The 15,833-nt window shown below is 41.3% G+C and overlaps 1 protein-coding gene and 1 long non-coding RNA gene across 16 annotated transcripts in view; one reads left to right on the forward strand and one right to left on the reverse strand.

Annotated features, from left to right (window-relative positions):
• Positions 1 to 15,833, forward strand: part of FRMD6 (FERM domain containing 6) — a 334,297-nt gene that overhangs the window by 167,732 nt on the left and 150,732 nt on the right. For 13 of the 14 annotated variants that reach the window (XM_047430922.1, XM_047430931.1, XM_047430926.1 and 10 more), the window contains one exon: positions 6,186 to 6,248. The exons of the other annotated variant lie outside the window; for it this stretch is intronic. The gene's annotated coding sequence lies outside the window, so the exon portion shown is untranslated. The remainder of the gene's footprint in view (positions 1 to 6,185; positions 6,249 to 15,833) is intronic. 14 annotated transcript variants of the gene reach the window in all.
• The window catches only part of FRMD6-AS2 (FRMD6 antisense RNA 2), a 145,441-nt gene that overhangs the window by 109,651 nt on the left and 19,957 nt on the right, over positions 1 to 15,833 (reverse strand). The gene's annotated exons all lie outside the window — the stretch shown is intronic.

The following is a 15,833-nucleotide window of genomic DNA, read 5'->3' on the forward strand; positions in this document are numbered from 1 at the left end:
CACACTGCATTTGATTGAGCCTCTCTTTACACAGTACTTATATTTGTCGTTACTTTTGAACATGTAAATTCCTAAGCTTGGAGAGTCTTCTCATTAGGACCAGGGAAAATGCATTCGTGTTGCTGTCTTTGATCTCTGAGGCGGTATGTGATTTAAGTTTGCCTCAGATCCTCAGTTTCCTGTCTACAATAATGAATTTGGGCAGAACCTGTATGATCTAGTTTTAGACCAAAATCTCTTTTTTAAAAGTTTTAAATGAGATGAAAAAGAAATTGGCCTCTTTGAGAAGAGAGGAAGTAAAAATGGAGCGACCTGAAGGGACCCAGGGAGATTAAGCGGCCTCCATTTTGAGCAGGCAGCTCCGGGGTCTGAGAGAGCTGACCAAGGGTGGCTTTGACAGAGAGAGATTATGGACAGCAGCAGCTCAGAATAATAGGTGGTTTAAAGGATATAATTAACAATCCTCTTCTGAAAAGCAGCACAACAGCCTTAGAAAGAGAGGTCAAGGGCTCTTTTGGAAAGGCCTCGGGGCAACAACCTCTTCTAAGCAAATGTTTAAATAAGCAGTTCTCCTAACAGTTAAAGGGTGACTTCACTTACATGTAGGAGCTCGCATTTGCTAAAAATCAGGTACCATGTCACTCACAGAAAGTTTATCAACATGTGGGATATTTTCCTAATTAAAAATATAGGAAAAGAAATGTGTGTGCATTTTCTATGTGTATATATTTAAAGAGAATCAAAAACACAGGGAAGTGATTTTTCACGACAGTAATAATGGCAGACCTGTTCATGATGTTTAACTTGCCACGGTCTGTTGTCCAGCTTGCATTCATTTCTGTTTATAAAACCCATAAAAGTCTTGAGCGAAAACTTCCTTGGAAAAGTTTTTATAATTCAAAAAAGTCATCAACTCAAAACCCAGACCGGGTTTGGCTCCTTGGATGGCACTGCCTCAGGGCCTCCTCCCTTTGTTCTTCTGTGTACACAGAGAGAGGAGGTGGAGCCAAGGAAGATGAAAGTTCTTGACACTAATGCCTGGCAGGACAAGTCTGGCAACTTTCAGAACAATGCAAATTGAATGGCCAAATTAGACAATTTTTCCCAAACTGAAATGACTTCTTCACAGAAACTTGTAACACTTGGCTTACACGTGCCGAATACTAGTGTAACCCACTTGGGGGCAGCTGTAGTTGAGCTCTATTAAGCTTCAAGGTGCTGCTAGAACAATACTGGATTAGCCCACTGGATTCAAATACCAAGAACTGATGGTATGAGGTGAGGCATGCTCTTCTAGGCTTCTTGCCCAAAGGTAGTTTGGGTTTGTTTTTAAATATTTGAAAAGAAACAACCCTTTTCACTTTCAGTCTTGAGAAATAGACGGAGGTTTTTGATGGGGGTGATGGTGATGGTGGTGGTGCTGGTGGTGGCGGTGGTAGTTGTGGGTCGTCCTTGTTTTGTTTAAATGAATCACCAAGAGCTAGACAATGCCACGGTAAATATGGGCTCTGAAGATCTAGCCCAACCACCTCCATTAACTATGAAGGAAATGGGGCCTCAGGGAACAGCAGCAGTTCTAGAGGTGGCGAGGCCTTAGATGGAAGTCATGAATTGGGGCACATTGTGTTGTTATGTTCCCTCATTTGAGGAACAAAAACCAGGAAAGTTTAATGGATCTCTCCAAGTTCACAGAGCTGTTTATTAAAAAAGTCAAGACAGTGGCCGGGCACGGTGGCTCACGCCTGTAATCCCAGCACTTTGGGAGGCCGAGGCGGGCAGATCATGAGGTCAGGAGATTGAGACCATCCTGGCTAACATGGTGAAACCCCGTCTCTACTAAAAATACAAAAAAATTAGCCGGGTGTGGTGGCGGGCGCCTGTAGTCCCAGCTACTCAGGAGGCTGAGGCAGGAGAATGGCATGAACCCAGGAGGTGGAGCTTGCAGTGAGCCGAGATCATGCCAGTGAACTCTAGCCTGGGCGACAGAGGGAGACTCTGTCTCAAGACAAAGCCCACTGGGCTAAAGAAATGTATGCATTTAGGATAGTCAAATGAACAAAGGAATGACCATTCCAGTACCAGCATGAAAAGTCATTCCAAATCGAACACACGCAGCTTGCATTGACCAGCCACTTGGATGTGACACATACATTTCCTCAGAGCAAACAGTAAAGAATCGATTGTCCAGAGTAAAGACCCATACAGATGTGTCTGGCTTTATAGAATACACAGTGCTACTTTTCAGGTAGATTTGACCATATTTTAAATATATATGAACAACTTTGCTTTTAAAAATTCTTTGTAAAATAGGGACATTTTCTGAAAAATAGAATAAGCAACCTCAATTTATCCACTTTCCAATCTGAATTTTCCCACGTAATATTTGTTTCACCTGGGTCTTTTTAAATTCAATGAACTGAAAGAGTTAATGAAGCTCCAGCCTTCCTACACAGTAGCCAGGCAATCCACCATCCTCGAATATGCATTTTGAGTCATTATACCCAATGTATCCGGTTGGTGCGAAATAATTGCAGTTTTGCCATTACTTTTTACCGCAATTACTTTTGCACCAACCCAATACTTTCAAAACCAAAAGTTAAACTATTTGTATGTGTTGTCCATGATAGTTTCCTCTCTAGACTAAGAACAAAGTTTTGTAAAGTATCCTTCTGTGTATAAGTTGTTTTACCTTGCAGAAGTTGGACTGAGAGGGCAGGATCGCTTGTTTTCACAGAATTGGTTGAGGTTGAGCATTTGTCACAGGCCCCCTATGCAGGAGGCTCTGTTAATGCACAGCAGGCATTGAAAACTCAAATGCCCACAAGAGCCAGACAGCTGCTACAGATGAGCAAAGCAGCAGGTTAAGTGGGAGAAGCAACAGGAAGTGGTATGGGAGGTGGGGAAGGAGTAGTTAGTGCCCCATCTGAAGGGATGGGTGCTACTCAGCTCCGGTTCATGCAGAAACATAGGCCAGTTACCATGCAGAAACGTAGGCCAGGTTTTGACAGACTCGTCATTTTTTAAAAGAAAAAATGTATTTTAATGTAAAATCTTCCAAGTTGTTAATGTTGGCAACTAACTCAAATTTGTTTTGAAACGAGTGAAGGTCAAATTAAAAAGTCCCTTGACCCTCTGGTTACCAGTATGAGACTTCTAGATGCTACCATGACTACCCATCTGTTTTTGGTTTTGTTTTCTTTTAGGGACAAGGTTTCACTCTGTCACCCAGACTGGAGTACAGTGGAGGCATCATAGCTCACTGCAACCTCCAACTCCTGGGCTCCAGTCATCCTCCTGCCACAGTCTCCTTAGTAGCTAGGACTATAGCCATGTGCCAACATGCCTGGCTAATCGTTTTGTAGAGACAGTATCTTGCTATGTTGCCCAGGCTGATCTCAAACTCCAGGCCTCAAGCAATCCTCCTGTCTTGGCCTCCCAAAGTGGTAGGATTACAGATATGAGCCACTATGCCCCGTCCCACCCATCTTTTTGTAGAAATCATATGCATCCTTTATTTGCCTTAATCACATCCTTCTTAAAGCTATCCTCAACACTCTGACATAGTACATCTGTAAGGTCTGTACTGCACAGTTAATGCTTAACTCTCTCCTTTCTTTGTTTCTGATTATTTCATATGTACAGATTTTGTATTCAGACTTGATCATAAGCACTTCCAGAACAAGACTCATATCTAATACTTCTTTTATAGCTATCTCAAAGCTCAATAAATGTTTGCAGTTGGTATTTTTCTTAATAAAGGGAAAAGAAAATAGTCTTTGCTGACACACAAATACGTAGTTATACTAGGAATGAGTTTCGTGTCTCGAAGTTCCTGAATTTCTAGCCTAGGCAAGCTAACAAGTTAACATCTGTAGGCATCTTGCCTTGACGAGCTGAGAAGCACTGGCTTGCCATAAATGTTTAAGAAGAAAGCACTTGGCAAAATAGCTATGAGTTCATTTATGTCTTTTCTAGAATAAAAATATCATAGGCTATATTTAGTCCCATGGAGGTGATGTTGTTCCTTACAAGCCTTGACTGTGAATGAGAAATTTTCTGAGCCAATTCTTGTCTGCAGGAAACCTTCCATTGATTTAGGCATTAGAAGAATGATAGGTCCAGCTAAAGAATGTCAAGCTCCTGTTTTGCATTCACAAGTCAGAACTCTCTGGGCCTTCTTCTTACAGTGTTTTGGAGGAGTACAGCGTGAGCTGTAAGCAGCCTTAATCCAGAAACAGGTGTAATGGGAGGAGAAATGGAGCAAGCATTGAAGTTCAAGAAATGAGTGACCACTATCTTTGTCCCTATGTGGAAGTGAGGAGAGGTGACTAAGAAATGGCGAACACTGCAAGAAACTTTTTGCCTTGTACTGGCCTGTTAAAGTTATCTCTCTGTGGCCAACAGTAGGCCAAAAATCCAGAACAGCTGGGCATGTGTGCCAGGCTGCCCAAGGATGGTTCTGGGAGTGGTTTGAATTGTCCAGCACCATTTGTGAGTGAAGGAGAAGTATGGAAACAATGACCTCTACAGATCACTAAATCCAATGGGCTTGATATGATAGGGAATCAAGAGGCTGTGGTGAAGGGACCAGCTCTGGTATGAATTGATTGCCTGACCAAAGGAAAACATTGTATTTCTTCCCTTACCTGGAAATGCTAATAAAATATCCAGAAAGGCTTTTACTTTTTTTTTTTTTTTTTGAGATGGAGTTTTGCCCCTGTTGCCCAAACTGTAGTGCAATGGCGCAGTCTCGGCTCACTGCAACTTCTGCCTCCCGGGTTCAAGCAGTTCTCCTGCCTCAGCCTCCTGAGTAGCTGGGATGACAAGCAGGTGCCACCACGCCTGGCTAATTTTTGTATTTTTGGTAGAGACAGGTTTTCACCACGTTGGCCAGGCTGGTCTCGAACTCCTGACCTCAGGTGATCCCCCGACCTCTGCCACCCAAAATGCTGGGATTACAGGCGTGAGCCACTGTGCCCAGCCAGAAAGGCTTTTACTGAAGAAGCCCTGTCTTCATACTAGCCCTCACAAACGCTACACAGACGTGCCTCTCAGACATTTCTGTATGGTTCTCAGAGTTTCCCAAATTGTTTGGTAATCAGAAAAAGAAATAAATTGTCAAATAAACAGACAACAGCCTTGCATTAGGAAGCAGACTTTGGAATGCCAAAAAAAGAAACGGTAACCAAAATAGTTTGGTTACTAAAAATAGTGCCTTAACTTAGGCAAACAATACCAGGGTCAGAATAAACACTAATTAACATTGTTTAGAATACTTTATTGTAACTCTGACATTATTGTCACTTTCTATTTAATAATAGAATTTTCTTTTCTTTCTTTCTTTCTTTTTTTTTTTTTTTTTTCTGAATCTCACTCTGTCGCCCAGGCTGGCGTGCAGTGGTGTGAACACAGCTCATTGCAGACTTGACCTCCCGAGCTCAGGTGATCCTTCCACCTCAGCCTTCCTGGTAGCTGGGACTACAGGCATGCCACCCTGCTCAGCTAATTTTTGTATTTTTTGTGGAGACAGGGTTTTGCCATGTTGCCCAGGCTACTCTCAAACTCCTAGGCTCAAGTGATGTGCCCATGTCAGCCTCCCAAAGAGCTGAGATTACAGGCTTGAGGCATCATGCCCGGCCAGAATTTTCTTTCTTCTTTTTCTTTTTTTTTTTTGAGACCGTCTGGCTCTGTCGCCCAGGCTGGAGTGCAGTGGCGCGATCTCGGCTCACTGCAAGCTCCACCTCCTGGGTTCACGCCATTCTCCTGCCTCAGCCTCCCGAGTAGCTGGGACTACAGGTGTGCGCCACCACACTCGGCTAATTTTATGTATTTTTAGTAGAGACGGGGTTTCACCATGTTAGCCAGGATGGTCTCGATCTCCTGACCTCGTGATCTGCCCACCTTGGCCTCCCAAAGTGCTGGGATTACAGACGTGAGCCACTGCGCCCGGCCCATGAGCCACCGTGCCCGGCGGAGAATTTTCTTTTTAACTTGTCACATTGTTAGTCCAATTGCATTTTCTTCATCTGCAAATTTGTTCAAGTTGCTAATAAAAATGGTGGAGAAAATAAAATTGATGTATCTTTGGAATGGTGGTGTTTAATCTGTCTAAAAGTAATGCTAATTATAAAAATAGAGACATTTATATTTCTTTTCTTGATTGTTCCTTATTTTTCTCTCAACAGCCTTCATATCTGTTTTTTTCTTATGAAGCTTCTTCTGGTTGGAAACTTGTCAAATTTCATCAGGTAAGAAGTGCTAAAGTGAACCTGTAAACTTTGTTTCAAAAAACAAAAACCGAAGTTTAAGAAATCTAAAGATGGTGTCAGCCTTAGACAGATCTCTGGACTGTAATCTGGGAAAGGTCAAATAAGATCTCCAATCGTGTACAATTCCAAATACATTTGAGAGCAGTGGGTCTGAAAATGTGGTTCCCAGACCAGCAGCATCAACACCATGAAGGAAGTTGTTAAAAATGCAAATTCTCAGGCTCTCCCCTGTGCTTTAATAAAGTTTCCAGTTGACTCTGATGCACATACAGTTCTGAGAACCAGTTTTAGATAGGTTTCGTAGGCCAAAGGAATAGAAAATATCTCTCTGGGTCGATTGCATTTAATGGACTTAATGTTTCTTCCTTTCTTTTCTCCATTGCCTTTTCTTCCTTCAGATTCATCCATTCCTCATTTAACAAGCTTGCTTCATAAAATCATACATTATTCCAAACATACTATCTTTGTGACAACTTAAATTCTATCTAATATGGGACTCCGTCAAAACGATGTGTTTGGTAGAAATTGTCAACTAATGAAATGATTTATATCCCTTGTTAGCTTTGAGGAGGAAAATAGTCATGGAAGACACATCTATAAATGGGTGTCCAGCTACTAAGATGGCTGCCTTTTATAATTAACATAATTAACATCCACAGCATGGCTGGGCATGGTGGCTCATGACTAACCCCAGCACTTTGGGAGGCTGAGGCAAGAGGATTGCTTGAGGCCAAGAGTTTGGGACTAGCCTGAACAACATCGTGAGACTTCATCTCTATAAAAAACAGAAAATAAAAATTAGCCAGGCCTGGTGGCACACACCTGTAGTCCCAGCTACTTGGGATGCTGAGGCAGGAGGATCACTTGAGCTGAGGAGTTCGATGCTGCAGTGTGCCTCTGAAGCCATTGGCAAAGGATTGTGTCGTCCTTTATGAAGGATTTATGTTGTCACACAAAATGTGATTCTGTCCTCTTGTAGTGTTTAGGGTATGCTGGAGTTCTCCACACTATCCAGTATCACCAATTCTGAAAAACAGCCTGGATAGCTACCCAGCAGAAATTTCATCTCTGATCTGGTGTAACCCTGGGAATCCCTGTTAATTAATTATCTGCTAAACTTAAAAAGAATACATATAAAGATACTGTCGTTCTTAAATGATTGGTAAATGTGGCTCCCAAGAGTACCTTTGCTGAAGATGATGCCTCATTTGCAAAGATATGCATGATTTCTTCTCCAAATCATACATATTTCTTGACGAGTAGGTATCAGAGTCTCTTAGACTCAATTTCCTCATTTATATAATGAAGATACTAATAGACTGTACTAGTGAGGATTGCTCTAAAAAAATAATGCAGATAATCCAGGAGTACTTAGCAAATACCTGGCTTAATAAATATTAGCCATGATTAAAGATTTTATTAATAGACTTATAAATTCAAAAAGGTTACATCAAACTTTGTCTCATTAAAAACAAGCAGACAGGGGAGATATCAAGTGTCTCTCCTTTGCATGGCTCACCTACCTGTAAGTTTTCTCATCCCCACTAGACCAGCAGCAACACCACTACTATGTTTTATCTTCTATGAAGGTTTGTTATTATGTCACCTCCCTGTTCTCTGCTCTTCTAGTTCCTTGGCCACTGCTGGCACTCCAGCATAAGGCCAGATAGCATTAGGGACGTGATAAAATATGGAAAAGCATCATTCATAGCCTATCCATAGTGCTAGGAGAGTAAAGAATAGTGCCTGCTATTAGCTCCTCTAATGTTCACCAGCCCTTGGAGCAAAATTTGAAAAGCCAGCTGGGTGACCCCAGTGCAGAAGATCAAAGGACCAGAAGAGGATCTTGAAAGATGATTTATTTCCCTTACCTCTATTCAATGTACAAAGCAAAACACGTCATCAGTTGGCAAATATTTCAGGAGAAGGAACTTTCCCTAATCTTTCACATAAATGCTAATATGAATGAATAACAGTTATATATGATTAGAAAATCTCATTTTAGCATAAGTTGAAATATTTCATAGCATATGCTGGAAAGGTACAGTTGCATCTATGACATATTGCCCTGTAGATGGCTTTGGTGAGAGAAGGGAGACAGAGAGAAAGGGGATTCTTAGAGGAGAGGTATGTAAAACATTAGGATTAAACAAGTGTCCAATAAACAAGAGATTTCTGAGTTTGAATTAGTGATGTAGAAAAATGAGAGACATCTGGAATCTATACTTCTTTTGCAGTCAGAAACACAGTTTTGAGTTCCTTTGTTGAATCATTTACTTTATAAAGACTTATTAAAAACGAATGCCTAAGATGGTTGAAAAGGGAGCAAAATTGAATTCGGAAGGCCAAATCCTTTAAGGGAATCATTTCAAAGAGCTTTTACTTTCCATCAACTAAGCTTAATGTTGTCTCCTCAAACTAGTCCTTTTGTTCTATTTCAATACATATGTGAAGAGTCAGAGGCTTATAGACTCACTTGAAATTTAACAGTAAATTTTTGGAGACAGAGAGAAGACTAATTTTCTTCACATTCTTAGGTTTTATCATATGATGCTTTCATAGACAACACTTTCCTCACCCTACCCCCACACACAAAAATCATCTGAGAGAAGGGGATCTATCTAGACATTGGTTCTTCAGACACAGCTGAGATATAGAAATGAGGTTGTTTTCTTTGTTGATTTTGGGGAAGACTCAGCTGCCCTTGATAGTCCTGTGACAGGCTTCTAGCCAAGATAGACTATGGAGGATAAAGGGGGGTTATGCATCACTTAAACCCCACTTTGTCCTCAGTCAGTGCTTTCAAATGCCCTTGCTGGGTCCCATAACTAGCCACTTACTGGAAGGAAAGCAGGGGTTATAGGCCAATAAGGTGACCTGGCGTTGGAATTCTGAGGAGACCACTGACATTTCAATGCCCCACTGGCCCTGTTATCACCTCTTATGCCAATGAGAGACAAAGGAGCAGGAGAGAGAGAGGGGAGGAAAGAAGGGTGAAAAGGGACAGAGGAAATGTCTTAAGGTGAAACAGATATTCCAGGAATACACTCCTCCCTCATCCATTTGCTACTTTCCTTCAGTACTTTACAAGAAAGTAAATATTGTGAGGAGCCAGATCCCAGGGAAGGCACAGAAAGGAATCCTACATTAGGCTGAAGCAGTATTTTTGGTGCTCTGCTGGCATACTGAATTCTTAGGATGCTACTGTGGAGCCAACATCACGCTGGTCGTTTGTATTCAAGTTATGGTGATGAAGACAGTCCCCGTGTCTCAAATCTCTATGTCCAAGTTATTAAATTCAGGAGACTGGACGCTTACCTTAAATGAAGCAAGGTAGGAGGCAGATGACTACTTACCAAGACCATCATTTGCATAAAGGAGTCAAAGAATCACCGTGTATCAGTCAGACCACAGGCTGGTTGTCTCTCTAACCAAGTAACCTGATGCTATTAATACAATGACAACTAGGGATATTTAGGGAAAGAAACGAGACAAGATTGCTTTCTAGGAGGCATTTCCAGAATCCCATAATAATTAGTTATTACTAAATTCATCACCCTCTTCAACCTATTTTTTTATTTTCTATGAAGCATCTCTTGGGTAACAGTTTTCATAGAATTGCTAGCCACAGGGTGACTTCATGCTTCCTTTTATTTGTGCTAAAGCCACCTTTGATTAACCCTTGGGAAGGTCTTCCTGTGCTTGCCCTGCCAGCCCTGCCCAGCCCTTATGGTTTTGTAAACATCAATCCTCTCTGACCTTAGCCACCACCTTTTCAGAGTGAAGGGTGCAATAGGCTCTCCCTCTCATTGCTCAACCTTTCTAGTCTCTTCTGGTTGTGCCCTGGAATTTACTGGACCATGGTTTTCCAAGCATAGATCAGGGCACATGCAAAAATAGACTCTATCCACAGAGCCTTTAAAGCTACCCTGATAAGAAGTCTTCTTTTTTGAGATTTATATTCATTTTGAATTATTAAAATACAAGTGTCCATCATGAGACAAATGGATAAAGAAAATGTGGTATGTATGCACAACGGAGTACTACTGAGCCATAAAAGAGAATGAGATCCTGTTATTTGCAACAACATGGACAGAACCTGAGGACATTATGTTACATAAAACAAGCCAGGCACAGGAAGACAAACTTCACATGTCCTCACTCATTTATGGGAGCTAAAAATTAAAACAATTGAACTCATGGGTATAGAGAGTAGAATGATGGTTACCAGAGGTTGGGAAGGGTAGTGGGTGGGGTGGGGGAAGTGGGAATGGTTAATGGGTACAAAAATATAGTTAGATAGAATGAATAAGAGCTAATATTTGATAGTACAACAGGGCGATTCTGATCAACAGTGATTTATTGTATACTTTAAAATAACTAAAAGAATATAATTGGATGGTTTGTAACACAAAGAAAGTATAAATGCTTGAGGTGATGAATGCCCCATTTACCCTGGTGTGATTACTACACATTGCATGCCTGTATCAAAATATCTTATGTGCCCTATAAATATATACACATAGTATGTACCCATAAAAATTAAAAATAAAATAAATTTTTAAAAGGATAATAAAGAAATACAAAGTAAATGTGTTGCTCTCATGTAAGAGCAGTTTGGCCTTTTTTATCACAGCATGGAGCCTATTGAAAGACCACTTTTATGCCTAGAGAGATGATGCCCCACCAGTCACTCAAAATGGCTACTAGGAACATTATCAATCCTCTTTCATTGCTGAGAATGGCTTAAATTTGAATTTTAAGATTCAATTTGTTATTTAATTTTAAAATATGGCTTACATTTTAACTTTAAGATCCAGAGGCAGTCTGAATTAAAAACTGGGGAGAAAGGAATTAAGGCAGATAAGTAATTCCAACTTATCTATCGACATGAAATAACCTTTACAAAGATGGGCTGTGAATATAAAGAGAGCCTTGTCTGTGCTCCCTGAACATCAGGACTTTGGATCTTGCATCAGCGGAGGGGGCCACCTGGCTCTGACTTTCTCCTGCAGATGCAGATGCTCCTTGGTTGAGCTAAGTGGAAATTCCCTTCTGGAGTCTCCCTAGGTAAGGGCCGTTAGAAAGTGTCAGAGGAGTGTGTGTGACTGTTTTCTGTTTTCGTGAGATATTGTAGAACTTTAAGTCTGCTGGTCATAAATGTTTTCTTTTTGAAATCCTTAGAGATTTTTTTTCTTCTTCGTCACAATGGCAGGAATACAGAGATTTCGCATGATTTCTTAATGGGATTCAGCTGCCTACGCTGCAGTGCTTTCAGCTGTATTTGAGAATGCACTGTGTTTCTGCCTTGTTTTACGTTTGCAGATGGCTGGAACTCTCCGTGTCTCCTTTTCTTTCTGTCATGGCTGGCAAGAGCTCATGGGCCATGAGCTGCATCTTTATAAACATGAACAGATTAGCAGGTATTCCCAAATGGGACAAATGCTACCTTATTGCAGACAGTTTCTAGTATAGTCCCACATTCTTTGAGAAAGTAGGTGGAGACCCCATCAGCACCAGGCCACTGGCAGCAAATGGTTGTAGCCAGGAGCCAGAATAGAGCAAGTCCAGCCTGAGCCTGTGGTCGGCAGTGGAGAAGAGAGGGTCGCAGACCTGAGGCAAAGGGCAGCCTGAACAATCAAGAACCAGAGCAGCCCTGGCACCCGACACCCAGGAGAGTGGGCTACAGGAAGAGGATCTGAGACCAGAGCCCACAGAGTCTGCAGAAACTAGAGGCACAAGGCACGAGGAATCACAAAGCAAACTTAAGTGCCGACATCAAAGAAGGCATTCTCACCCTGTTTCCTGCTTCTGGGTTTCTCCACATTCCTATAGCCTTACAGACAGTAAGCCCAGTGTGGTGGGAACAGGGAATTGAAGTGGAAAGCACAGGCCAGGGGATCTGATGGGTCTCTTAGATCCCCTGGGAGGGCATGACAACATAGAGAAAGAAGAGTCCTTTAAAAGCATTCAACATAACGTAGTTTGCCCAGGCAGTTCACGCTGACTGAAACCTCCTCTGTCTTCTGAACTCGGGCATGCCTATCTCATCTCTTCTTTTGAAGCAGAATGCTTTAAATTTTTATTTTTATCCTGTGAACTTCAATATGCGACCTCCTTCTGTGACAGAGCTTCTCTTTTGGTCCCCCATGAGTGGATATCACCTTGTACTCCCCTGCACCCCTAAGCTCACGTTCTTCATCTTCTCTTTGACCCTCAGCATGTTATCCCTTGACCCATTCTTCAGTTTTCATGTCTATCATCTGCAAAATCTTTTCTGCCTCATAGTACTTAGGAGATCAGACATACGCACGCTGGAGACAGGAACCTCCCAATATCAAATTAGCCACTTGGGCCATCTTGTCTGGCACGTTGCATAAATGTTGTATGGAAGACAGGTCCTCCTCCCAATTTCGTTTTTCACTGGCCACATGATGTTAGACAAGTCTCTTTCTCTCTTTGAGCCTCTCCTGTCTGATCCAATGGGTTGTAAGAATCAGATGAAATAACAGAGGGGAGAGGATTACACATTTTAAAGCACTATGCAAATGTAAGGTGTTGTTATAATAAAATATGGATCATGGCTTATGTTGGGGTGGGGCTAAGCCTCCTTTAGTCATTCTTTCAGCTTGTTTGTGTAACCTCTGGTGAAATTTTAATAACTGTTGCAAGGCATAGGTTTCAGCACGTTCTTTGTTTCTTCTGTTGGTATTTGCAAGGCAGTCACATCTGCCATGAGCTAGTCCTTCTCAGAAGGGAGTGGGTGGGAAAACATGTAGCTAAAAAGGGCTTAGGAGCCCTGAGACATCTTAAATAGGAGTCATTTAACTACTCCAATGGAAAAAAAAAAAGAACAGCAAAAATATCACCAAACTCATGGCACAGTCAGTAGCTCAGCACTATGGTTCTTACCATTTGAAATTTCCATTCAACCGTGTTTCATCTCCAGCCACTATCATCATCATGATCATCAAATTTAGCTGAATTACTAGTTCAGTTAAGACTCAATGTATAGTGTTGTGTATCAGATATGTGCCAAGCCCTATGCTAAGTATACAGCCTTGAGTAATTCACAGATTCTTCCATACGAAACTCGCGTACAAATAAACACACACATAAAAATAAACAACGTCAATTTGATAATTGCTATAGATCTGGATAATTGGTACATTTAAAGTACTATGACAGTACCTAGGATGGAGTAACTAACTCTGCATGGAAAGTAGGAGAGGAGGTAACATGTGACCTGGCCCTTCAAGGATGAACAGAAGTTGGTCAGAAAGTGAGTATAGAGCTATACTCACTGTGTATATAGGCTTTGGGGCCAGCCACCTAGTTCAAATCCTAGCTCTGCCATTTCTTTTCTCTTTTTTTTGTACTTTAAGTTCTGGGATACATGTGCAGAACGTGCAGTTTTGTTACATAGGTATACACGTGCCTTTGCTATTTCTTAACTACATAACTTGGCTAGTTCCTTGATCTTTCGTTGCCTCAATTTGTTCATCTCTACAACAGGCATTATACCAATAGGGCCTACTCACAGGTTATCATGAGCAGAAATGAGTTCAGGCACGTAAAACACTCCTAATAGCTCCTGTCCTATGGTTAATCACTCAATAAGCAGAAGCCATCGTTGCTGTTATTATTGTTCTTTGCCAAGTCAACAAGCAGGAAGGAAATTCCTGGAACTTTTAGAGACCTGGTCTCTGAATTTAAGAGACTGATAATAGCATCATTATCATTATGAATAACAGGAAAGCTACCGTTGATGCCAGGCACTAGATTCTTGACATATGTGATTTCACTTGGTTATCATAGTAATCCTGAGTGTCAAAAAACTTCCACTGAAATATAAATAATGCCACAAAGAATATAAAGTAAGTGAAAAATAAGTGGCACAAAGTGGCCACTGGAAGAAATAGAATTACATAAGAAGAAATATTTACCATCTAAGTAATGAGGCAAAAGTCAAAAGGATTCCAAAGTGGTGGGTTTAAACCAAAAGAGGTCGGAGGCATTTTTGTTTGTGTATTTTCATTTTTGTTTCTGTGCATGTTCATTGCCTCTAAGCAGAGCATGCCCTTGCTTATTCGCTCTGGTTCTCACCACTCGTGTGATACCCAGCCCTGAAAACACTTGAGTATTGAAGTTTGTGACATGCAGACAAGGATCTAGAACTTGAGTTTTGCAAATGCTTGCATTTGTTGAATGATGTTTTTTGTGCCAGGCACTATGCTGTGTACTTTCAGACACATGATCTGTGTAACATCCTGAATAAGATATTATGATCCCCAATTTATAGACGAGGAAACTGAGGCTGGAAGAGGGCAAGACTAGAAAGAAAAACAAGATCAGAGGCACCAAAGCAGGGAGGTACATATCATGTTCTGCAATCCATTTGACCAGAGAAGAGGACCCATGCATGGGGAATAGTACGAGTTTGGGTGGAAGAAGTTAAATGACCTTGAAGGCCAGGCTTAGGAATATGAATGTGGCTATGGGAAGGTAATAAATGATAGGTTTCCTTTTCTTCTTTACAGCTTTATGAAAACCCAACCACAGCAAACATACAGGCTGGCACAAGGTTTGCTCTAAAGAGGAAGAGATCTAGGTGGGGCTGAAGATGTATCACTTCCCTTTGGAGAGTGCCCTGCCACAGGCAGGGACAATCTTTCATCTCTCATAGAGGAAAACATAAGGGAGGAGGCGCCTTCCAGTAAATATCCTCAGTTGAGTTTTCATATTATATATAATATATTCAAGGAGACAACCACCCAATTTCCCTCCCTGGATTCCAAGCCTTGAGATATAACTAATATTTAAGTTTTGCATTGCAGAGTGCCCTGATAATAAAGAACAAATTCCTTAACCTTTGATCCTAAGATGGTTTTTATAATATTGCTCCTGTTTACCTCTCTATCCTCACCTCACTTTACTCCCACAGTATACCCCAGCTGTGCTGATCCCATGGCTGTTCCTGAAAGCAACAAATTTTCTCCAAGAAAATTTATCAAATCACTTGACACCCCCTCATATCCATAATGCCTTGCACTTACTTCTAGGATATAACTTCTCACCAATAATGTGTTTATTTGTTTACTTTAGATGATAGCTCCATGAAGGTAGGGATTCTGTCTTGTTCTTTGTTGAATACCCTGCATTTAACACATCCCAGCACATAGTCAATGCTTAAGAACAATTTGTCAAATGAATGAGTAAATGATTTGGTGAGAGAAGAGGTGCTATGATTCTCTGGTCCTTACTCATTGTTGAATCCTGCTTTTCAACTTGCCAGTGTATTCCTCCTCTCTCACTGTTCACCTGACCCTAGACCCCTCTCCCTTTGCAACTTGATCATTGATTTCCAGGTCCTCTTCAAATCTGACATATTCTCTGCCCCATTTACAATCTGACACATGTACACACTCACCACCACTAAAAGCAACAATAAAACTGTCTCTTCTCTCCTTCTGGGGCTCATCCTTTACCAAAAACCACTGTTATCTGCCAGAGCTCCACTGTTACCCATGAAACGTTCTGGGGACTCACATATCCCCCATTTCC

The sequence above is a fragment of the Homo sapiens genome, chromosome 14, assembly GCF_000001405.40.
Source record: "Homo sapiens chromosome 14, GRCh38.p14 Primary Assembly".
Lineage (NCBI taxonomy): Eukaryota > Metazoa > Chordata > Mammalia > Primates > Hominidae > Homo > Homo sapiens.